The sequence below is a fragment of the Homo sapiens genome, chromosome 2, assembly GCF_000001405.40.
Source record: "Homo sapiens chromosome 2, GRCh38.p14 Primary Assembly".
NCBI lineage: Eukaryota > Metazoa > Chordata > Mammalia > Primates > Hominidae > Homo > Homo sapiens.
Genome location: NC_000002.12, coordinates 175,114,996 through 175,141,072, shown reverse-complemented (window position 1 = coordinate 175,141,072; position 26,077 = coordinate 175,114,996). Strand labels below are relative to the sequence as shown.

Below are 26,077 nucleotides of genomic sequence, written 5' to 3'. Positions count from 1 at the left end.
ACACACACATATATATATACATATATATATATATATATATATTTTTTTTTTTTTTTTTTTTTTTTTTTTTTTTCCTGAGATAGGGTCTTGCTCTATCCCCCAGGCTGGAGTGTATTGGCAAGAGCATAGTTCACTGCAGTCTCAAAATCCTAGGCTCAAGGGATTCTCCTGCCTCAGCCTCCTGAGCAGCTAGGACTACACGCACATACCACCATGCCTGGCTAATTTTTAAGTTGCTTTTTTTTTTTTTTGTATAGAGACAGAACCTTATGTTCCCCAGGGTGGTCTTGAACTCCTGGCCTCTGATCCTTCTGCCTCGGCACCCCAAAGTGCTATCATTACAGGTGTGAGCCATTGCACCTTGGGCAGGATTTATTATTTTTCAAACAGTTCAAGGTATCCTTTTAAAAACAGCTTTTTAAGGTATAATTGACTTATAATAAATTATACATATTCAAAGTATACAGCTTGATACGTTTTGACTTATATGTATACACCCATAAAACCATCACCACAATCAAGATGATAAATTTGTCACCCTCAAAAGTTTTCTCATGCCCCTTTGTAATCCTTCCCTCCCACTCCTTCTACTCCTGTCCCTCAGCAACCAGTGATCTGCTTTCTGTCGCTGTGGTTTTCATTTTCTAGAATTTTATATAAATGGAATCATACAATATAATTTCTTTGACTGTCTGCTTTCACTTGGCATAATTATTTTGAGATTCATCCATTGTTGTAGTGTCAGTAGTTTTCAAGAAAATCTCTTTATTCGCTTAAGAATGCCATTGTCACTTTGAACCAAGTTATTAGTAAAAGAAGAGCAAATCCAAGATGCAGTCTGATTTGGGACTTTTAATCTTTGGCATTTTCGCCTAGCTGATTTTTTTTTTAAACCCACAAGGCATTGTAAACATTCCAGAATGAGGACACTTTTTCTTATGTGTATCTGTGCAGTGACTGCTTCATAGTTACCTCTATGAAATTAAAGATTATTTGTTACTTAAATTTATTCCTGATTTCCTGATGTATTTTGTTATTTTTTTCTCAAAGAAGGAGTTATATTATTCTGCTTTTTACACACATTGGTATGGCACTTTAATTTTAGCTTAACTTTTTGGGCATTTTGCTTTAACCTTCATTTTACTTTATGTTCATGAGTGAGTATATTTCAGCAATTTACTTAAGATGCCTTCACCAGTATTGAAGAATTGGAATGGAAGTATTTACAATTTGCTGAGAAGTGGGAAAGTCATGTTTTAGATTTTTCATAATATTTGAACTTTAGGTTACCCAAATTTACTGGTCTGTCTCTTTAATAAAAATCATCTGTTTACACTTTTCCTGATTAAAGGAGTGGTGGTATTTAATGTAATCTATTTCTTTCTTTCTTTTCTTTTTTTTTTTTTTTTGAGATGGAGTCTCACTCTGTTGCAGCACAGTGGCACGATCTCAGCTCACTGCAACCTCGGCCTCCCGGGTTTAAGCAATTCTCCTGCCTCAGCCTCCCGAGTAGCTGGGATTTACAGGCATGAACCACCACACCCGACTAATTTTTGTATTGTTAGTAGAGACGGGGTTTCACCATGTTGGCCAGGCTGGTCTTGAACTCCTGACCTCAGGTGATTTGCCCGCCTCGGCCTCCCAAAGTGCTGGCATTACAGGCGTGAGCCACTGCGCCTGGCTATCTATTTCTTTAAAACCTTGGAGCGTAGAGGTTGGTAGCTTCTCCAAGATGCAGAGTTATTATTTCCATGTGAAGTAAATATGGACTTACCCATTTTACAAATTACAGTTTTTTTAATTTTTTAAAATGTATCCAACTGATATAATTTCTTTTAACAATTTAACAATTACTCTGTGCCTGCTGTTAGCAAGTAAGATACTGTGCAGATACAACGATGAATAGAGACAGCCTTATAATTTTAATAACAGTAGAAATAATAGAACTGCAGCTGCCATTTTATCCAGTACTCATGTGCCGAGCATTGTGCTATATACTTTACATATACTATTTTAAAATGCTTACAACAACTGTGAGGTAGGTGATACTACCCTTGTATTATAGTTGGTGAAACTGAAGTGCAAAGTTGCTTAGAACCTTGCACAATATTGTATAACTTACGAGTGACAAAACCAGGTTTTGGAGCCAGTTCTGACTCAAAAGCTCATATTCCTTTGGCTGTGTTATGTTTCTTCAAGAAGTAGTAGGCAGTAGAATGGGGTGGGAGAAGCACACAGATTATATAATAGATGACATTACAGAACACAATGTGGTTGCTGTAAGCAAAGCATAAACAACATAGCTTGTGGAAGAAATTTTCAATCTGGATTATGGGGAAGGTATCACAAAGGAAGTGTTATTTGAAGTGGGCCTTGACAGTGTAATATCAAAGGAGGCAAACATTCATTTGGGAGGGTATATTTTAGGGAGAGCTAAAATAATATGCAAACTGAGGGTGATTTTCAGAGGATGGCAGGCAGTCTGATACTGTTAAATGGGCCATGGTGTATTGGAAGTAGCATTTAGAAGGTCAGATTAGATATAAATGATAGCTAAATTTGTATCTCTCAAAGTATACCTAAAAGGTTGAGTCTGTAGGATTTACTAAGTGGATAATCAGATTTGTATTTATGGTATTCAGTGATAGTTTTGATTCTTAATTTGAGGTTGTAAGAAAAGGAGCTCTGAGTTGGATGCTTGATTAGTTAATGTAAGCCCCATCACTATCTTGGAAACTCCATGAAGGCAGGTATCTATCTTGATTTGCCAGTACATCCCCAGCATCTAGCAAGAAGTACTCATGCCAAGTACAAAATGGAAACTCAAGAGCAAGGAAGATAAAGAAATGTTAGAAGAAGAGTTAAGAGAAATCAAAGAAGCCGACTTCTAAAAAATTTTACCTAGAACTCTCCTGGTGCTTTTCATGACAGTTGATTTTCCTACCAGTATAGATTGTAGTTACTTGCCAGAGAGTAATGTGATATATTAACAATTGTCTATGTGCAGTCATTGACTTCTCCAACAATCTATAGCTCAGCAAAACCTCCCTTCCAGGCTTCTGTTATGAGCATATTTGCAACACTGCAATAAAAAGGAGATAAGCCTGGATTTATAGGCTTTAGATTCAGTTAGATTAACAAAGAGATAGCATTTAAGCCTCCCAGAATTGTTATCGTTTCTGTCTCAGGGTGCTTGAACTGTTAATATTTATAACTCTCTTAGCTAGGTATTAGAAAATGGTAATAAGGGAATGGAGTTTTTATTTGTTGGCTAAGAAATGGGCTGCTGTGTAGGTAAGAAACTTGTTTTGTAGAGGAGGGGGATAGTATAGTGGAGAGTAGAAAAGATTAAGGAGAAGGGTACCAAGGGCTAACTCCCTCTGAAAGTTTTTCTAGAGCTATCAGATTGATCCCTCCACTACCTCTCTACTCTCATAATATTTTAACTCTTATTCCTACCAAATTAATTGAAAATTGTACTTCCATATTCCTCTTTCCTCTAGACTGAAAGTTTCTCAAATGCAAGGAGAGTTTTCTTCATCTTTGTGTCTGTGTATAGTTGATGTTTAAATATTCCTTGTACTAAACTGAGCTAGGCGCTGTTGTAGGTGTTAACCCAAAGATAAGTTCCTTGCCCTCATGGAGCTCATATTCTACTTGTAATGACAGAAGCATGGCTATTACAGATTTCCTTGGATTTTTCTAGTGTTCTTTTTCCTCTCCTCGCAGACAGCATGGTAAAGTTGAATGTGAGTGAAGAAATGGAACCCTCTCAGATAAAAATTTTGCATGGGACAAGGGAAGAAACTTTCTCTCTTCTTATTTCCTATACCAGATCCACCTTTACTCCAGGACTCTGAACTTTGGCTAGTTACACATTTCCCCACAAGAATTACCAAATTTTTCTGAGCATGACATTCTTGAAACTTCATTTATGAACAAAATTATGAAAAATGCAATTTTCCTCTATGCACCATTAGCTTATTTGGATAACCACATAGTTACTCTTATTTACCACTGGATGAGGTTTCAGTGACCATAAGGTGAAGCCATTGGTGGAGTTTTAAAAATGGGTCATCAATCTGAGTAGTTTCAGTATACTGTACTTGTCCTTAAGCTGATACAATTGGAGCTGTTTATATAGATCAACTACATTGTGGGACAAATAAATTTTGATGAATTAGGCTGAGAAGCTGAATATCAGTAAGTACATTTTTTAAAATTAAAAGCTTTCTGAAGAGAAATATGGAATTACTAGGTTGCATCATTCTCATCAGTGTTCAAAGTAAGGATTTTTTTACTCTTTTAATGGCTGCCCTTCAATCACAGCCCTAAGGGCTGAATTAAATGTTTCTTCCACTTTTAATCCCTTTGGTGGAGTTAGATATGTTAATACCTATGTTTAGGATATTTGTGTAGGTGTGTTGATATTTCAAGAGCAGTACTCTATTATAAAAATTGTTAATAGTGACTAGTTTTGGGGTGACAGTAGTGTTACAGAGAGTAATTTGAGCACTTTATTTTCTACTGTTTCAAGAAGTGTTTCAGAACTATTTTTAACAGTGTGAAACCACTTTGTTTTTCAGTATTCTTGCCATGAGAAAAAGAATGTGATAAGTTATTCAACTTATGAAATTCAAGTTACATGTGAATTCTGCCAGGTATGTGTGCAATATTTGGTATTTTTAGCCATTTTTTACATTTTGGGTTGTAAAAATCTTTATAGCTTGTTTCTATTAGGTAAGTATTTGTGGTGTTTTTTTCCATACAAAACAAGTCACTTACTTAGTATGTAGTTTAGCTGATACTCCTATTTTGTTTTTAAATAATCAAATTAAAAGCATCTAAGTACACTTAGCTATGACAGACATAAACATGTTTTAAGGTTTTGATTTCCTCTAAAATGAGTTCTATCAGTCCCATGGGATGTTCTGTGAAAAAGTATTCAAATAGCAAATAGCTTTGGCAAAAATGCCATACTCTGGGTGCTCCCCTAGTCATTTTACATTAGCATATTAAAGACTGTGAAGAGTCCTGCCAAAAAAAAAAAAAAAAAACAAAGAAAGAAAGAAAAGTATATTTTAGCATTTCCCGGATTTGTTTGGCCACACCTTTTTTTCTTTAGTGTCTACTGACATCCCCGTTGAAATGTTTTGGGGAGCATTGCTATTGAAGGGTTAACAAGCTACTATTTGAAAAAGAAACAGTGTTACAGAATTATTAGTTGAGTCAAATATATTTGCTATATAGAATTTCTAGAAAGAAAACAAGTTGATGGATGGGATAATTAATTGAGAACTTTTAAATCGAAATTTAAAAGTAGGAAAGTAATCCTGACTCAGAGATGTCTTTTTGCATTTGTTTTGTTCAAATCAGGATCCAAAAAGGTCCTTAATTTGGTTGTATGTTTATTAAATTTCTTCTAATGGAAAACAGCAACCCTCTTCCTTTGCTCTTCTTTTCATCTCCATGACATTTACTTGTTGAGGAGACCAGGTCATTTGTTCTAACTTACAGTGATTCATCTTAGTGTTTTTTGACTTTACGATGGTGGGAAAGTAATACAGTCAGTATACTGCTCAATTCATGGTGGGGTTATGTCCCAATAAACCCATCGTAAATTGAAAATATCTGTATTGGATTTGGATGATTGCCTCCTGGTGGTGTTGTTTAACTTCTTTTTCTGTCTCCTGAATTTCCTTGTAGTTGGAGCTAGGGAGGCTTGATTAGATTCACTTTCGACTTTTGACATTCCCTGTCCCCACCCTTAACAACCTTTGGTGTTAATTTAAGACTAATCTGTGAATTCAGATGCTGTCAGCCTGGTCCAACCATTATGAAGTTCCTATCAACTTTTCTCCTAATGGTTTTAAAAATCAGACATTGATGATAGTTGCCCAGATCCATTATTTCATTAGGGATTAAAGTGGTGGTATTCTTCCTCTTCCACTTGTTCCTCCTCCTCCCCCTTCTCCATGCCTGGTTAATTTTTTGTATTTTTAGTAGAGGTGGGGTTTCGAAAGTGTTAGCCAGGATGGTCTTTTTTTTTTTTTTTTTTTTTTTTTTAAAGAGATGGGGTCTTATTTTGTCACCCAGGCTGGATTGCAGTGGCACAATCACAGGTTACTGCAGCCTGGACCTCCTGGGCTCAAGAGATCCTCCTGCCTCAGCCTCCAGAGTAGCTGGGACTACAGGTGTACACCACCATGACGCTACCACGACACTACCACAAGTGGCTGTTTTAAATTATTTGTAGAGATGGGGTCACGCCGTCTTTCCCAGGCTAGTCTTGAACTCCTGGGCTCAAGCCATCCTCCCACCTCAGCCTCCCAAAGTGCTGGGATTATAGTCATGAGCCACTGCACCCAGCTAAAGTGGCAATTTTCTAATTATTTTATTCTTCTGCACTTGTTGAAATTCTATAAAAGACTTTTCCTTCATCAACTCTTTGGTTACTGGAAATACATTTTATGCACAAAAGGCAGATTAAACACACTGATCTTTTTTCTTTCTTTCTTTTTTTTTTTTTTTTAAACCAGTTTTCAGATGAGTGCATTTTCTTAGTTGTTGGGTTGTATGACTTGTCTGTCAAGCCCTTACTGGTTTGCTGTATGCCAGGCTTTTCTTTCAATCTCTTACTCCACTTCTACTTAGAGTCCTGTGAAAATCAGTCGTTTTTTTTAGATATACAGTTGTTCCTCAATATCTGTGGGTGATTGGATCCAGGATCTCCTGAAGATACCAAAATTTGAGGATGCTCCAGTTACTTATATAAAATCGTGTAATATTTGTGTATCACCTATGCACATCCTCCCGTATACTTTAAATCATCTCTAGATTACTTTTAATACCTACTACAATGCATATGCTGTGTGAATAGTTGTTACACTATATTGTTTAGGTAATAATGACAAGAAAAAAAGTCTGTACATGTTTAGTACAGATGCAGTTTTTTCTCACATATTTTTGATCCAAGATTGATTGAATCCATGGATGCAAAACTCATAGATACAGAGGGCTGACTGTACATATTCTTTTATTTTTAATTATTTTTTATAGTTTGTGTCCTTCTCAAAGCTTCTGTAAGGTTTCCTGGAACACACTGTCTCTGGATGTAGTTACCTGTATAATTTTTGTCTTTTTCCTAGTATTAGGTTAAATAACTGTTTGCTCCTTTTTTGCTTTTTATTGAGGTATAATTTAAACAGAATAAAATGCACTATGTAGAGTAAAATCTGTTTTATCAATCTTTTCTTTTATGGACCTTTTGTGTCCTGTTTAACCTTTGCCTACTCCAAAATCATGAAGATTCTTTCCTATTTTTCTTCTAGAAACTTATGCTTTGCCTTTCACTTTTAGGTCTATGATCTACTGTGACTTAATTTTTAGTATAATGTGAGATAGAATTCATGGGGCATTTTTTAAAGTTATGAATCCTTAATTGACATAACATTAAGGTCACGAAAAGTCCTGTGAAATGAAGCCTACACATTCAACATTTCCCAAATTTATTTGGCTAAAAATCTTTTTTCCATGATAGCTACCATGCTTTGGGAAACATTGATCTAAAGCACTGATAAACTACTGTTGTCAAGGGAATATTACATAATTATTATTAGTTGAGTCAAGTACTCTTGCTATATAAAATTTCTAGAACCAATTATTGAAAAGACCATCCTTTTCCCACTTAACTGCAGTTGAGCATTTGTACAAATCAGGTAGCCTTATGTGTGGTTCCATTTCTGTACTCCTTCTTTTCCATTTCTTTGTATGTTTATCATTGGACTGATACCACAGTGTCTTAATTATTGTAATTTTATAATGGGTCATGATATCTGGTAATAAAAGTCCTCTAGCTTAATTACAATTCTTCATGACTGCCTTGTTTATTCATTGTCTTTTGCATTTTGTTACAGATTTTTCAGTTTCTACACATACATAAAAGCACTGGGATTTATTTTATTTATTTATTTTTTTTTTTTTTGAGACAGAGTCTCACTCTGTTGCCCAGGCTGGAGTGCAGTGGTACAGTCTCAGCTCACTGCAACCTCTACCTCCCCAGGTTCAAGTGATTCTCATGCCTCAGCCTCTCTCAAGTAGCTGGGACTACAGGTGTGTGCCACCATGCCCAGCTTATTTTTTAATTTTTAGTAGAGACAGGGTTTCACCATGTTGGCCAGGCTTGTCTCGAACTTCTGACCTTAAGTGATCCACCTGCCTCAGCCTCCCAGAGTGCTGGGATTGCAGGCATGAGCCACCACACCTGGCTGAAGAACAAAACTGATATAATAATTTTGGTTTGTATCTATTTAAAGATACTGAATTCATTACTTAAAACCACCCAGAAGAGAAACCTCCAGGCTCAGATAGCTTCACTGGTGAATTCTTCCAACATTTAAGGAAGAATTAGTACCTATCTTATGCAGATTTTTCTAGAGAATGGAAAAGAATTAACATGACCCAATTCTTATAAAGCCACTGAACTTAGATACCTGGCAAGGTTATTTCTTATGACATAGATTGTAAACATCTTAAAATACGAGCAAAAGGGAGGATTTATTTAAGAAATTCTGGTTTGTTTGTTCAACATTCAGTGTGATATACCACATTAAAACAATAAGAGAAAAAAATAGTATCTGAATAGATGCAGAAAAAGCATTTGATAAAGCTCAATGTCTACTCATCATTAAAACTCGCAGGAAACTAGAAATTGGAGGAAGCTTTCTTAATCTGATAAAGAGTATCCGAAAAAAATCTGCAGCATCTGCTTTCTCCCTGAGATTTACGTGTATTTTTAAGACTAGCATCTGCACAGTGCAATAAAGCTAAGCACAATAAAATGAGATATGCCTGTACCAGGAATTCTCATAATGTGAGAGCGGTCTGTGAAGTCAAAAACATTTTTATAATAATACTAAAATATTTACCTTTTTAAAATTCTCATTATCTCACAAGGATTTGATGCCATTTTCTAGAGGATACATGATGATATCACAACAGGTTGAATACCAGAAGCACATAGGAGAATTCAGCTGTGTTATACTCTGTTAAGCCAGATGTTAAGGATTTGCAAAAAGTGGGAAATAATGCCTTTCTCACTAAATTTTTTGTTTTGAAAATATATTGTTTTAAAAAATATGTGTTAACATGCAGTGAGTTCATTGTTATTTTTAAATCATAAATTAATATTTTTAGAATTTCTCAGTTTTAATTTCTGATGTGGTCAGTATTGATAGTACATAAACAAAAACGTTCTTTGGGAGCCTAAATTTTTAAGAGTGTAGAGGATCCTGTTTGAGAACTGCGGTGCCATACTGTTCTCACTCATTATTTAGTAAGTTTTACTAGTGGTCAGTTACAGCCAATCTTGTTAGAATACTTTGCTCTTACTTAAAAATTTATATATCAGTATTCCTTAGTTTGTAAACATTTAAGAAGCACTAGAAGGATAATATGTTATTTAGATAAATCGCAGATATCATGAGGAGGTGTTCCAAATTTAGTTATAAAATAGCTTATAATGCTCACAGATTGTGTAGGTCAAAAATTTGTACAGGGTACAAGAAAATGGCTTGTCTCTGCTTTTTGTCTCTGCCTAGTACTGGCACCAGCAGCAGGCATTTGCTATTAATAAACTGTGATTCTCAGTGTCTGCCTCAGTCTTAACTTTTCAGGGCACTGCCCTTTGACCTCATTTCTCTGATGGATGTAAGAAGAGTTGATGATTTTCCGTTTGTTTAACTTATTTCTCTTTATGAGGACAGGAATGATGACTTTCAAGTTCTTTATGTGTTGGACTAGAAACCAGAAGTCTAGACCAGTGTTTCCCCAAGTGTCATCCTTGCACCTACCAGTGCAATATCAAGTTGTCCATAGGCTATTTGACAATTATAGCAATAAATATTTTGGATAAAGCAATAAAACTTTTGTTAACACATTTCACAAATTTTGTATATGAGATTAATAATGGTGACTTCCTGGAAACCATTTGTATTCTCAGTGATCATTGCGTACATGCTTTAAACATGAAGCAGTGACTACTGTGAACCAGCATGGGTTTCCTAAAAATGAGATATATCAAATCTTTGGCAAAAGTTTTGATACATTACAAGGAAACAGCATAAAATATTGACAAGACTTTTAAACTTGGACTCAGAAGATTAACTTATGATCCTCAGTATACCACTAACAAAAAGTTGGAAATTAAGGATTTAGAAAGAGATCAGAGTTAGAGATACAGATTTTGTTATGTTAATACTACCTTATCTCCTTTACTGGGAGGAGAGATTCCCTGAGGCTGGGATCCATTTCTCTTTTATTTTTGAATTTCTCTGAGTCTTCTATAGTGCTTCCAATATAGGAAAAGGTGTAAATTTAAGAAGGGATTTAAGAGTTTGTTTTTAGACATGTTGATGTTTTGGTAGCATATTTAGGTAGAAATGTTTAAGCCAATAGATACAAATATTCCACTAGAATATAGGACTGGAGATGGAGATTTTGCCACATTATTTTCATAACAGTACAGTAGGATCCTTGGAAGACTGCATAGTATTTGCTCATTTAATTTTCTTGAATAAATGAAATGTGTTCATTTCACCATAAGTACTTTTACACTGTTGAGCAGGAAAAAGTTTGCCTGACAGAGCAGTGTTCCTAACCTTTTTCCTATAGTGCAAAATCTGCATGTTACATGTATTTTATCTACTCTCATAATAAGAAAGATAGAATTAAAATGTCAGAAAAGTGTTTTATTTTGTATTAAAATAGAAAAGTTAATAAGCTTAATGAAAAATCTTGAGATTTATATTTTAAATTATTCTTTATTTTAAAATATGTACTCTAAAGTGTCTTCTGTTTGATTATAGGCAATACAAGGACCTGTGGAATATGAGTGATGACAAACCCTTTCTATGTACTGCGCCTGGATGTGGCCAGGTAATATATAAATTACTTTAAATTATTTTGTATATTTCCACTTATTAAAACATTGATGATATAATATGTTATCACTAAAAGTATTTTCTTACAGTATTCTGTAAAATTTTAGAGTTAGGATGAAAAAAAACCCAGGAAACTTTTGGCAAGAAATTCTGCTTTTTCTTCAATAGTGCAACTGAGCTTTAGAAAGTATAATCCAATACGGAGGGGGGGAGCATTATATCTTGTAATGGAAAGGTGGAAATCCTACACAAAAGTCCAAGATATAAAAGTATAATTTGACTGTTATTGGTTGAAAATTATTGATAAACTGCCTAATTAGAAATCAGATCGATATTATATGAGAATTATTTTGCTTACTGAACTTTTATGAAATTAACTGGTATTTACTTCTTAGAGTATCACTAATGTATTAATGTTGTTAAGCCTAACGTCTTTAATATTGGGCATGTGGCAGCAGTTTCAGAAAGTAATATTTTAGTTTTTTTTTAACAACCCACTAAATTATTAATCTATTCCTATTATACTTATCTTAAAATAACTATAGACAGGAAGAATTAAAGAATAAATGTAATGTATAGCAAAGTTACAAAGTACTTAAATATACGGACCATAAATGTAAGTAAGCATTATTCTTTCTCATTTATTTTCTTTAGTTGATATTTTAAATTGAAATATAATTGACTTACAATAAACTGTATATACTTAAAATGTACCATTTGATAAGTTTTAACACACGTATACTCAAAACCATCAGCACAATCAGGATAGTAAACATACAATCACCCAAAAGTTTCCTCATGCCTATTTATAATTCCTCTTATCCCACCTACCTTCATCAATTACTGGTCTGCCTTCTGTTACTGTAGATTTGTTTGCATTTTCCAGAATTTTGTATAAATGGAATCATATAGTATGTATGTTTTTTCACTCCACATAATTCAATATTTCTCCATGTTATGTTACCAATAGTTAATTCCTTTTCATTGAGATATAATATTTCATTATCTCACAATTTATCTGTTCATCTGATGGATATTGGTTTACTTCTATTTTTTAGTTGTTAATAAAGCTGATGTGAATACTTGTGTACAAGTCTTTTTATGGACACATGCTTTCATTTCTCTTGGAGGAATACATGGGAGTATAATGATGGGATTATCTGATAGATATATGTTTGACTTTTTAGGAAATTACCAGGCTGCTTTTTTCATGTGTTTGTTGGCCATTTGTATCCCTTACATTTTGTGAAGTATCTTTTTAAATCTTTTGCTCATTTTAAAAAATTGGGTTGTCTTTTTATTATTGAGTTGTAGGAGTTCTTTATATATCCTGGATACCAGTCCTTGTCAGAGGCTTCTTTTTCTGTGGTTTGCATCTTAATTTTCGTAATAATATCTTTTGATGAGCAGATGTTTCTAATTTTAATGAATCCTAATGTATTAATTTTTTTCCTCTTATGGTTGTTGCTTTCTGTGACTTGTCAGAAATTTTTGCTTGCCTTTAGATTATGAAGGTATTCTCCTTTGTTTTCCTCTAAAACTTACTGTTTCATTTAGATTTCTCTTTAATCTTGAATTAATTTTTGTGTATGGTGTGAGATAGGGGTTGAAGCTAACTTTTTTTTTTTTTTTGAGACGGAATTTCGCTCTTGTTGCCTAGGCAGGAGTGCAATGGCACAATCTCGGCTCACCACAATCTCCGCCTCCCAGGTTAAAGTGATTCTCCTGCCTTAGCCTCCCAAGTAGCTTGGATTACAGGCATGCGCCACCACACCTGGCTAATTTTGTATTTTTAGTAGAGATGGGGTTTCTTCATGTTGGTCAGGCTGGTCTTGAACTCCTGATCTCAGGTGATCCGCCTGCCTCGGCCTCCCAAAGTGCTGAGATGATAGGCGTGAGCCACCGCGCCCAGCCAGTTGAAGCTAAGTTTTTAAAAAATACGGGTTTAGATATCCCAGCATAATTTCCTGAAAAGATTTTTCTTTCCTCATTAAACTGCTTTGGCTCCTTTAATGAAAATCAAATGATTGTGTAAGTGTGGGTCTGTTTCTGGGCATTATATTCTGTTCCATTCATCACTCTGTCAACTTTTATGCTAGTACCACACCATTTTGATTACTCTAGCTTTACAGTTAGTGTTCCAGTCAGTTAGGGTAAATTCTCCAATTTAGTCCTCATTTTTCAAGATATTTTTGGTTAGTCTCTTAAGTTTTAGTCATTCTGGTGAGGGTTTAATGGTATCTCATTGTAATTTTGATTTATGTGATATTTAATGATGTAGAGCGAGGTAAACATAGGAGTTATCAGGGTTAATGCAATTTTAGATAGGTTAACCAGGGAATGTGCCTCTGCTAAGGTGACATTTGAACAAAGACCTGAAGAAAATGCAGGAGCAAACCTTGTATGTTTCTAGACTAAAGGAGCAGCAAATGTAAAAGCTCTAGGGAGGGAATGTGTATGGTGTGTTTAAGAACAGAAACGCAACTACTGTGGCTGGAGCATATAATGACCAACAGAGAGAAGGTTAAGAGAGGAGGTCAGAGGAGACAGAAAAAAAGACATATCCTATGATAAGGTGTTTGGGTTTTATTCACTGAGCAGTGAAAAGCCACTGCTGAGTGGTCACAGGGAGACAAGAGGCTGACAGCAGTCCAGGTGAGAGATGATGGTGGTTTGAATTAGGTGTTAACAGTGGACACAGAGAGAGAAATAGGCTAATTTGACATATGTTTTGGAGATATATTTGACATATATATTTTTCTGTAAAGTTAAGAGAGCTAAAAACTACAGTTCTCTTTGCACCTAGAATTCTGCATATGATTTTAGGTTTCACCAACCAAATTTACTCTTTCTGGTAAATCAGATTTACTTTAACTTTTTTTTTTTTTTTTCTCGAGACAGGGTCTCACTCTGTCACCCGGGCTGGAGTGCAGTAGCATGATCATGACACACTGAAGCCTCAACCTCCTGGGCTCAGGTGATCCTCCCACCTCAGCCTCCAGAGTAGCTGGGACCACAGGTGCTCACCACCACACCTGACTAATTTTTTGCTTGGTTTTTTTTTTTGGATACAGGATCTCTCAATGTTGTCCAGGCTGTTCTCAAACTCCTGGGCTCAAGCCATCTGCCTACCTTGGCCTCCCAGTGTGCTGAGATTGTAGACATGAGCCACTTCGCCTGACCCACTTTACTTTTTGGATTTGGTACTGAGTTAAATGGAATGAGAGATAGTATTACTCAAATCATCCATTTTGCTGGCTTGGAGTGAACAAACAACTTGATTCTGTAATCCCTGAAGTACAGCTAATGCAATATGTGTTTCTAGGGCCAGCCTTTGGACAAAGACTAGTTTTGACATGTTCTAGATATCATTCTTGGAGACTCAAAAAAGCCCTTTCCTGATTCTCTTCTGCTTAAAATAGTTAGAATGGGTTTTGTGATTGAATTCTTACTAATACACATGCCATTTTAAATAAAAGCATTACAATTAAACAGAAGAAAAACTGATTGCTGAACATTAGAATTTGTGTGTGTATGTGTATCATAAGGAATTGTTAAAAGACCTCTGTAACATTAACTATATATGTGAAAAACATTAAGAAGTTAGGGAATTATTTTTTTAGGTTTCCTACTATTAAAGGAGTTAACATGCATACTTTCTACCTCCACTTCCCTATCCCCTAATGTCTGATAATTACTCTTATTTTTTCCATTGTCGAGGTTTGTAATACTTACATTTTGTCTTATCCATAATTCCCATATTTGCTTAGTTTTACTTCTGTATCACAATAGTATAGATGGAAGGGTGAAAGCTAAGCTTTAGGGCACCTCTGGTGTTTAAAAGTCAGAAAGAGGAGGAGAATGTAGCACAGAAGATTAAGAAGTAGCAACCAGTGAGGAAAATTGAATCTTGAAAGTTAGAAAAAATATTTCAAAGTAAGAGAAACAATATAGTCATATCCTAAATAGGATAAGATGATAATTCAGTATTTACTATTGAATTTAGAGACTATGATAAGAGTAGCTTTCAATGAAGGGGCAGTAACAACAGTGTAATTGGAGTAGGTTGAAGAGAGAATGGGAAGAACCAGAAATGGAGACATTATAGGACAGTTCTTTCTTGGAGGTGTAGCTAAAGGGAAAGTGAGATACATAGCTTCAATGTAGGATTGAAGATGGTGGAACTTTTTTGTTTTGCATTTTAAGGTGGGAATATCACAGCATATTTGGCAATGCAGAAAATGGGACCATTGCAGGAGTGGGGTCCTTAAATAGCTAGGAGAGGATGGGATTTAGTTTTATTTTTAAAACAAAATTGGGACCATACTGCACAGTTTTGTATTCTGTTAGTATTTGGATGACATTACACATATCAGCATTTTGTGTATTAATCGAAAGCATGGCTTTAAGTCACTATTGCTTGAGCATGTCTGATTCCACTATTATAAACTTTTAATTTTGGTATTATAAGCAACATTGTGATGAATATCTTTCTACATAACCCTTTGTATATGTCTACTTAGTTTCTTAAAATACATTTTGGAACTAGAATAACTGGATTTAAATGTTTACACGTTTCTAAGTTTCTTCGTGTATTTTGCCAAATTGTTTTTTAAAAGCTAAATCAATTTTTTATACTCACTCATAATTGAATTCTCACTAATAGTGATGCTTTTAAACATTAAACATTTGATCCTGAGTATTATTTTAGGGGGGCCTGTGTTCGTACCCTAAGATACTTAAAATAATCTCTTTGCAAGTATTACTGATCAAAATATAACCTGGCTACTCATCCATTTGTTAAATCTTGCTGAGAACAGAAATGGTATGGTCTGTTTTTAGATTTATATAATATTTCCTAGGAACTACTTAGTAAGAATTGGTTTTAGAAGCATCATTTTGATGGTGACTGCTTTTTCACAAGATTGCTTTTTCACACAGTCTTTTTAAGTTTCTTGTTATTTTTTGTCACCAGTAAGCAATGACATTATTCTGAATTTGAGTTTCAGCTTTAACACAATGGTCTTAGTTAAATTTAAGGTTTCAAATAGATTTTTACAATTTAAAATCTATTTTGGTGACAATACAACTTCAGAGAGAGTCCTATAGAAATGATTACAAAGAGTTTTTAATACTAGACTTGTGCTATTAAATCTTTTCTTGTATGCCTCAGTTACTCTTAGGTTTTCCACATGCCTGTTAATTTCACTTGTTTTAAAGTGATGCTCCTTGGAATTTAGTAAAAGAGACACTGAGATAATTTGGTGAAAGATTCATTTATCTTTGTTAGTCTTCCATATACTTGGTAGTATCTTTGCTTTTGGTGCCCCGTCATTGAAAAATGTTTCTTTGGTAGAATGTTTACACATTATAAGCTGTTTTATAAAGGAGATAAAGATTCATTTTATATTTAGTCTAAAGTGACAATGGAGATGTATGTGTGGGAGTGTGTGCGTGTGTGTGCATGAGAGAGACAGTGAATATATCAGTGTAACTTCCTGCTGTTGTTCAATAGTCCTTAAACTAGTGAAAAAAGTAGTGAAATGAGCTATTGGCCCAATGGCTTGAAAACTTATTTGTGTCTATCTAATATGTTTAAAAGGAATAATAATATATCATGGATATGAGTGTATGTATTAACTATAGAATGACTGATTTTTTAGGAAGTTAATTCTGGTGAGAGTGGTCAAGCCTTAGTAACACAGATTTCCCAGATATCAGAACTTAAATTATTATAGAAGCAACTGATCTACCTTCTTCCCATCTGACAGGTTACCCTTTCTTTTTAACCTTTTAAGAGAGATTGCTACCTGCTAGGCACCTATCAAAAAAAAAAATCTTTTTTTTTTTCACTTTTTCCATTGTTTATTGAGCTATATACTCAAGGTCTTAGTCTTGTTTAACAAAATACTTGTGTTTCTTTGTATATCTACAGTATTTTCTTTGGGGTTGTGCTTTGAAATGCCTGGAAGAATACAGTTTATGAATTCAGTATGTTGGTGTTGCTAGTAATATAGATATTTTTACAAAACTTATTCTTGGAATATAATTTGACTGGGAAGACATTTCATATAGATTCTGTAAAAAAATTTAGCTTGCAGCTATTTTATAAATAAATAAAGAATGCATTTCTTTCATATTAAACTTCTGGTGACTGCCTTTTCACAAGATTGCCTTTTCACACGGTCTTAAGTTTCTTGTTAAAAATAATAAATTTTCTCAGATAACCAAGGTCAAATTCACCTGTATCAAGTGCCAGTGTATTTTGTCTTTTGCAGTGTTTTTGTATTTTGAGTGTATTTTGTCCTTTGCAGTGTTGCTGTCCCTGTATATAATTAATACTGTTACAGGATCAGTAATCCCTTTGTAAATTGCATTTAGGGAAATTTGATCTGTGGATCTTATATGAGAGTTTATAAATACATATTCCTTGCATTCTCCCTTTTAATATTCATATGATCCTAAATATTTGTTAGGTTGCTTCTGGCCACTTCTTTACACTTAGGATTGAACTTGGTGCCATTTCGTATGTTTTGTACGAACACAATGTTATTTATTCTACATGCAGTTCTTTGATTTGAATATTTGGGGTCAAACTAATCCAAGCAAAGAAAATTGATAGAATAAAATTCCTAGGCGACAACATTCCAACTTCTTATCTATTAATTTGTTGAGTTTGCAGTTTTAAAATCTGGGACCTGCACCAAAATGCATTCATTCACAAATGTTTAATGATTGCCTTCAGTGGAAAAGCCACATTATGAGGTTCTTTGAAACATAAACTAAATATTACTTTCAGATGCTTTTAGTGTAGGATGTAAGACACATATATTTAAAACAGCAATACAAAGAAAAAGCATAAAATATTAATGTCAGTATGCTCTGCAGATATGTTCGTTTTCTGAGAACTTTGTTATTCAGCAATCTGTCAAAAGTACCACTGTTTCTTATTTCTCCAAAATTGGGGGAGATTCTTATAATGATAAAGTAATAGGAAGACAGTACCTGGGTGGGGAAAAGTTTGATTGTGGTCCTACTGCCTATAGTTGCTGCCCAGTAAATGTCTGAAGAGTGAATGAATATGTCAAGTAGTGGAAGTGTTGTTGCATCTGAACACTCTCCTTCAGTGGTAATACAGGCAGGTTCTGAAGAGAGGTTATAAAATAATAGTTTTCTGTTGGCATGTGAAGTAATCCAAAGACTAAGTGATAAAATGTAGCAAGATTAAATTGAAGTTGAATTCATCTTAATGAACAATGGTTTAGGGTCTTTTTTAGCCCCCTCAGATTGATCTTTAAGATTCATCTATTTTATTGTAATGAATTCATTCTTTCAGTTAGCATTTATTGAGTACTTAACTATATGCTAAGTTTGGGGGACCACGGTAGGAGCTCAGCCTACTTAAAAGGACAGACATATGAAAATATGATAGGTGCTATAACCAAGGCATTGTGCCGCACACATGAGATGATTTTCACCTCTACAGGCAGACGGATAGTGGACTGGGCCAAAGATGTTAAAATGTTAAAAATGTTTCATTCTTTTACATTGTGTTTAAGGTAACCCTAAAGCTACTATTATTAGTTGCATGAAAGGATGTAGTGAATTGGGTAGGGGAAGGAGACCACAAGAAATGGAATTCATTTTGATGGTTTGGGCAAACCAAGTTCAAGTATATATATTTTAACATCCTCACTTGTAAGGTTATAAAGAGTGAATTGAGATCTGTTAACTTAGCATTTTAAAATTATTGCTCTGAAATAACAGCTCCCTGTTTTCAGTTATAAATGTTGCTTAATGAGCATCTTCAAAAATGTTGATGTTCAGACATTGGAGATAATGCATTTATTATGTTGTAATCATAAATGTTACCTTTGGCATGCAAAACTTATCCAAGTTAGAGGTAGGAAAAAATATGATGGATAACTTTAAAAATAAAATGTTCTAAAAACAACTTTGCTCCATTTTTATGTAAGAACTCTCATGAAAAAATTATTTTGGCTACTTTAAATTTTTTTATTTTAAAATGAGCTGTTTTGTTATTGTATCGGTTGCTATTTCTTTGCTGGATTAAAACAAAGGCATTCTTTTTTATGTGGTAACATAAAAATCAGATTTATTTCTAAATTTTGTCCAGGCGTAATACTTTTATAAGAAAATTCTCTTTTAAAAAGTGGTAAGTAACCTTAAGTCTAGGTAAATATTAATACTACAGTACTTTCTTGAAAAGTCATTGAACCATGGAGTATAGTTTCTACTATGATAAGACAAATTAATGGTGGTCTATTTTTAGTATCCATAAGAAATTTATATAAAGTTTCTTTGCCTCCAATTTTATTTTTAAATGCTCTCAAATGAGTTATGTGACCTAGCAATATATCAGTATTGCTTATTCTTGAGTAATAGGTTTCTCTGTGATTGTTTGCAATCTAGTGTGCTATCTACTAACAATAACGGATTCTTTTATAGTTTAAAAACTGCTATTTCACTGTTAATGGTGGTTTTACATGTTGTGGAAATTAATTTCCTAATCATTTTACTTATTTGATCAAATTGAAAATCTTAACTATATTTTAAAACTTTTTGCCACAGCGTTTTACCAACGAGGATCATTTGGCTGTCCATAAACATAAACATGAGATGACACTGAAATTTGGTCCAGCACGTAATGACAGTGTCATTGTGGCTGGTTAGTATATGCTTTTATTAATAGCTTGTATACATATTTCACCTGGAATGTGCACAATTTTTGTGTATTCTCTGTAAATAATATAGTCTGGTGATATTCCAATGACTTCATTATAGTAAATGTTGGCAACATGTATTTTACCCATTACATTTTCATGTTTCCTTCTGACTATTCATTTCATTTTTTTGTGTGGTTTTCAAATTTATATTCCAATGTCGATTTTGTGGAAGTTCATTAGAACTCTGGGAACATTCATACCATCTACAAATTTTACATTTAACTAATAATTGAACTAACATGGTATTTAGTCAGCATTTCTTTTAGCTGTCTTGTACAACTGACTTACAAGGCTGTGTGAAGATAGAAAATGATCAAGCTTCTCCCATTGGAGAAAGAACAGTGAGCAGACTTGTTCATTAGAGTTGTTTATATTTCTTTTCAGACTAAACATTTGTATTAGTAAAATATTCTCAGTAAGGAGGCTCTAAATTCAGTCAATGCAGTTTTTGTGTGTTGACACTATGAACGTACAGTATCACCTAAGCAGATGATTATTTTTCACTGTATGTGAAAAGAAAAACCCAGTTCATACATTGGTTGATTGTCATTCCATGCTGTATTAGCTGCCTTTTTTTGGTATTTAAATATATACACACACACATCTATGTATATATACATATATGTCATGTATAATTTTGCTACTTTTTTGTATATTTTATAAGTATTATGATAAAACAAAACTATATAAATTTCAGATCCTTTGTGTCATCACAGATTTACATATCATAAATATTCAGATTAACTCCAGATTTTTCTTTTCTCTTGTAAAGCTTGTTATATGTCATATAAGTCTGGAATTACACCCAAATACTGTAATACTTTTAAATTATTAATCAGTATAGAGACCAAATTGTTCTATGCAGTGTTTTGGATAGATAATAAAGCAAATATTCGGTGGTTTTCCCTCTACTTACAGTATTGAAATTTTTGTAATGAAGAAATTGAAGGTAACAAAGTTAATTTATCGAAAACAATATACGTAGGAAAAATGTAGGGGAACTTCCAACATATCCTAACTAAGTTCCATAAGTAACTTAGAGATATGTTACTTATACAGAAGAGTGAGATAATGCTTTTTTTTTTTTGGAGTATTTTACATTAGACATTAAGAGCTAGAACCAAAGGAACCAAACAAGCAAAATAGTAACAACCTCGAAAGTTCACTCTCCTAGGCATGAAGCTCTTTGTTTCTCTGAAACTTTCTGCCTTAGCACAATCTCTGTCTGTGTGTAACTCTTTAACTCAAATATGTTTTGAAATTGGTTTCTAGAAATTACTTTCCTGTCTGATCACATTTAATGCAGTAGAAAAATAGAGCACATTCAAACACAGTACTTGACCTTTTTTTTCACTAACATGTTGAGATGAATAGGTTAACATTACTATGCAAATAAAATGCATGATGTGTGTGGTATATTTTTGGTGATCAGTAGCCATATGCAATGTGCATGTTAAATGATTGTGCCTATGTTGACTTTTCTGAAGTCTGATGGTTCCAGTAATCATTGATAAAAGTGACTTATGCTTATGTATTTTATTTTTTTAAGATTTTCCCCTCCCTTTAATGTAAGTTAAGAGCCTTCTGATGAACTTAGATAGACAAACCCTTTGGGTGTGAACAGAAGAGTCACATTTAGATTTGACCTACTAATTTAGTCATGATGGACTTAAGCTAATACATGTACTTTACTTACTGTAATGTGATTTTTGAGATCTTTTGGGAGGTGGGAATTAAGGGATAGGCTAGAAACTAGTAAAATTATGATATAATAGAGTCCTTTTAGTAATTCTGATATTACTAACAGTGCCTGAAACAGGCCTGCATTATGTCTAGTTTTGTATTACAAGTGGGTCATTTTAGTGTGAAATATATTTGTACATAGTAAAAATACTAGTCCTCTAGGTATACATGTGGGGGGCAAAGGTAAAATAGGAAGTAATGCCCTCTGTGGGGACATAATGGTTAACAAATATGTAAATTTTAATCTTACAAAAGGAATTAGGAGTATTTTCTCTTAAACCAAGAGTCTTCCTTAGTAGAGTACTTTTACTTCACTTAGGCTAGATCCCTGCTATAGCCTGTAAAATTGGTGCTCTAAAATATATTAAATGTGAATAGAATTTGAATGTGCTACCAACTCTAATCAATATGAATAGACACCCTTGAAAATAGTAACACTAAATAGGCAGAATTTATAAGTTTCTTGCTTTTCATTCAGTGTAAATCTTACCTGGCATTTTTTGTAGCCTATACATGGACACTGAGTACCTATGTTAATGTACATAGTAGGAGTACATATTCGAGTAAAGTTGAAATGTTTCATGTTGTAAGAAAATAGAGTAGACTCTTTCTTTACTCCTTAGGAATTAAGCTAGAACATTCTGGAGGCATGTGACTCACACATATTCCTTGTACCTAGCTTGTAAAATGCATTAAATTAGAAAATTAGTTTCAGTAGATAGTGGTAAAAAGAGGGTTTGTTGTTTTAGGGCTGTTTTAACTTTTTTTTTCTTTCTTACAATATTTTTATCTACCTATTAAAGATTGTTTTATCTTAGTTTGCTTTCATAATAGAGTATGAACAGCTAGTGGAAGAACCAAGTTAAAGCAGATATACATGCTCTTATCCTAGTTTTCCCCAAATTTCATTTATTTAAATAATTGTAGTTTTTAATAATGTAAATTTAAAAAATTCTTTATACTGTGTTAGATAATAATAGTTTATCTCTTGAGTAGAGGATGTTTATGCCATTCTACTCAGAAAGAAGCAGTGGACTAAGGAGCAAAAAGGACTTCTTTCCTACTTTCATATTTCATAGTTCTTAAAGTTGGAGGAAATACGAAGTACAACAAAAATTTAACCAAATTTTGTTTGTTTTAAAGGAAGAGGTCTTTCCAAAGAGAGAATTAACAACTGACTGAACCAGTCCTGCTAATTTGTTAACTTAGTAGCTATATTTTAGAGTCTTAACATATTTAAATATGCATGATTACTTCTTGACATTTATTTCAGATCAGACCCCAACACCAACAAGATTCTTGAAAAACTGTGAAGAAGTGGGTTTGTTTAATGAGTTGGCGAGTCCATTTGAGAATGAATTCAAGAAAGCTTCAGAAGATGACATTAAAAAAGTATGTTGTAACCATGAAATTTAAAAAGAGTACTTCTGACAGAAAAGTAATCATAGTTTATACTTCCTGCTTTTTAAATTTAGACACACTGTTTTTGAACTTATAACCTTTTCCTTATTATTTGAATTATAGATGCCTCTAGATTTATCCCCTCTTGCAACACCTATCATAAGAAGCAAAATTGAGGAGCCTTCTGTTGTAGAAACAACTCACCAGGATAGTCCTTTACCTCACCCAGAGTCTACTACCAGTGATGAGAAGGTTAGAAATTTTTAGAAATACAAAGTAAGGGGGAGGAACAGTACCCAAATAAAGTTTACTATTTAATCTCCATAAAATGTTAATGTATTAAATTCAGTGTCAGCTTGCAATAGTTTTATATGTGAAAGCCTGTCAATACTCAGATATTTCAGGGTAAGAAGACTGCAGCTTTTATTGTACATAGAAAAATTATAGGGGAGAACAGTCATGTTACATAAAACTTATTTTTAAAAGATATATAAATTTATAAATTTAACTTAATTTTTCTGTGTTTTGCTATTTTATATTTAGCTACTTTTATACAGTAACAGCTTAATTAAGAATCTATTCAAAAAATTATTTGAACAGTGGTTTTTTAGACTTTTACAGGATTAAGGGACTAGTTACTCATTCTCAGCAGTGGATCTTTGTTAGCGGCAATTAGGACGATGATGATACTAGCTTGAATACCCAGATAATCTGGGACCACCTGGGCTACAGTTGTGTGTTGAGTAACATTATTATGGGAACTTCTTGATCACTCTTTTGTTCACAAGCACATAGAATAAGCACATATTTATTTGGGAGTACCATGCAGGACACAGCGAAGGGCAATGGGACACATAAAGAGGCAGTGGCAATATTCTTTTTTAGATTGTTATTCTAAAACCATACTTATTAATGGACTTCTGTCATGGCAGAGGAGCTAGAAATAAGGAAATACAGAAAAAATAACTTTTTGGCTAAGAATAAATGCTTTGTTTTCTGTTTTTTTTTCTTCATTTTCTTTTTCTCATTTTAAAAGTACATTCTCATTCTTCTTCTCTAAGAATACAGAAACATGAAAAGAAAACCAAAATCACCTATTAGCACATAATTGAATAAGAATTACTATCTTGAAACATTTTTTTCTAGATATATACATTTATAGGTACAAATACATAAGTGAATAGTTAAATAGAAGGATAGATGGATATAAAGATCCTAGCTTTATTTTATATTGTGCTTTAGACCCTCAGTATTGATGAATATTTTCCCATGTCATTAGAGAGTTCCCCAAATCATACTTTTTAATGATTGTACTTTATTTTATTATATGATATGTATATGTATTATGTTATCCTGTTCTTTTTGGACATAAAGGTTGTTTCCACATTATTACAGTTATTGGAAATGCTTTTTAAATCTCTGATACAAATCTTTTTTCCTAGAGAGCATTTCATTCTTTTCACACTTAACAGTTTTTCATTGTTCGTGGCTGCTTCAGCATCTTTTAGGAGTATTCCTTCTTTCTGCATTCCCCAATCATTAGGCCCTCCTTGAGCAAGGTATACCATATGAAATTGATTTAAAAAAAAAAAAATCTGGACCTCTTCTTCTTTCTTGATTTTCTTCCTAGGTGATCTCATCCAGGCCCATAACTTTAATAAACATCTACATACTGATGACTCCCAAATTTCTATGGGCATAGGTATCTCACCAGATTGCCAGATTTATATCCAACTCCATCTTGACATTACCTTTTCTATGTCTAATAGACATCTTAAACTTAATAGGTCAAAATCAGAGTCCTTGATTCTTCCCCCAGTTTTCCCCATCTCAGTAAATTTTCTCCATCCATTTAGTTGTTCTAGCTGAGAATTTAGGGGTCATCCTTAATTTCTTCTTTCTTTTACACTGAAACTAACAGCATATTTTATCAGACCTGAATCTCATCCTCTATGTCTGTGTTCAGTGACACCACGTAAGCCCAAACCATCATCATCTTTTGTTTGGATTATTAACAGTTACCTTCTAACTTGTCTTCCTGCTTCTACCTCCAATCCATTTTCTGTAAGATGACTTTTAATACATTAAATATGTCACCTGCTTAAAATCTTTCAATGGTCTACCATTGTATTTAAAATAATTCACACTCCTTGGCATAAGCCCTCTTTGATCTGGGCCTGTCTACGCATCTATCCTTACCTCATGCCTCTCTATTGTGTTCATCAAATATTCAAAGCTTTTTCCTACCTCAGGACATGACATATATGGTATTGCTTCCTTCTCCCTACAATGAAATGCTCTCCTCCTCATCCTTTTATCATCAGTTCGAATGCTGTTTTTGCAAAGAAGCTCACCTATTCTTACTATGCTGTCTAAATTAACTGACTCTTCCTTACCTTCAGCTAATCTTTCATCCTTTGTTACATTGCACGTATTATTCTGTAACACTTAACATTTACTACAATCTGAAATTTTCTTACTTGTTTTACTTGTTTATTGTCTCTTCCTTGAGAGCTAGTCCTTGGGAGCATAAGTTCTCAACTTACTGAATAAATGAAGTTACAATACTACTACTTTATCCTTCTTCCTATGTAGCTTAATAAGATTTTGATGATAAGTGGCAGCATACAGGCCAATTCATAAAACACCATAGACCCAATTTTTACACTGACTATTTAAGGAGTTCTGGGTAAAATCTTTTAAAACTTTTTGTTCTATAATTTGTAAAACCAGAGGAAATACCATCTTTAAGGTCTTGGCTGACAAATTCTGTTTTCCTGACTTGAAAGAGTTCACTCCGGTAATTATTTATTTTACATTCAAGATATCAGTATTACGTGGCCTTTTGATATGAAGAAATTATTGATATAGAAGAGGTAGCTAACTGGAATTAACAATTATTTGTATTGCTCTAAAAGTTCTTATTTCTGTTACTTAATTGTATCAGCCATAACACAGTCTCACTGGACCTGTTTCCTCTTCATACAGTATAATGAGGGAGGGGGACTAAACAGTCCCTTCTGGATTTTAAGTTCTGTGATTCTCTGAGAATGGATTATATTTTTATTTTTTATTAAAATTCTCTTGGTATCATAGCCAAGTTGCCCAGTCTAACTTATTTCTGGATTGATAGGAGAACAAGTTGTACTGGAAAAAAAAAAAACGAGTCTTTTTAAAATTAAAATATTAATTGAACATTGCATTTGAATCTTTACAGCTCTTCTAAAATGTTCTTTTAATTAATTT

At 33.6% G+C, this 26,077-nt stretch overlaps 1 protein-coding gene across 13 annotated transcripts in view; it reads left to right on the top strand.

Moving 5' to 3' along the window:
• ATF2 (activating transcription factor 2) overlaps nucleotides 1-26,077 on the top strand; it is a 95,945-nt gene that overhangs the window by 27,131 nt on the left and 42,737 nt on the right. For 8 of the 13 annotated variants that reach the window (NR_045774.2, NR_045771.2, NR_045770.2 and 5 more), the window contains 5 exons: nucleotides 4,587-4,661; nucleotides 10,866-10,935; nucleotides 19,533-19,629; nucleotides 22,704-22,822; nucleotides 22,955-23,083. Coding sequence is in view for 6 of the 13 variants with exons in the window: in NM_001880.4 (NP_001871.2) it covers nucleotides 4,630-4,661; nucleotides 10,866-10,935; nucleotides 19,533-19,629; nucleotides 22,704-22,822; nucleotides 22,955-23,083 (447 nt within the window). In the remaining 7 variants the exon portion in view is untranslated. The remainder of the gene's footprint in view (nucleotides 1-4,586; nucleotides 4,662-10,865; nucleotides 10,936-19,532; nucleotides 19,630-22,703; nucleotides 22,823-22,954; nucleotides 23,084-26,077) is intronic. The other 5 variants (NR_045773.2, NR_045772.2, NM_001256092.2 and 2 more) reach the window with 2 other exon arrangements.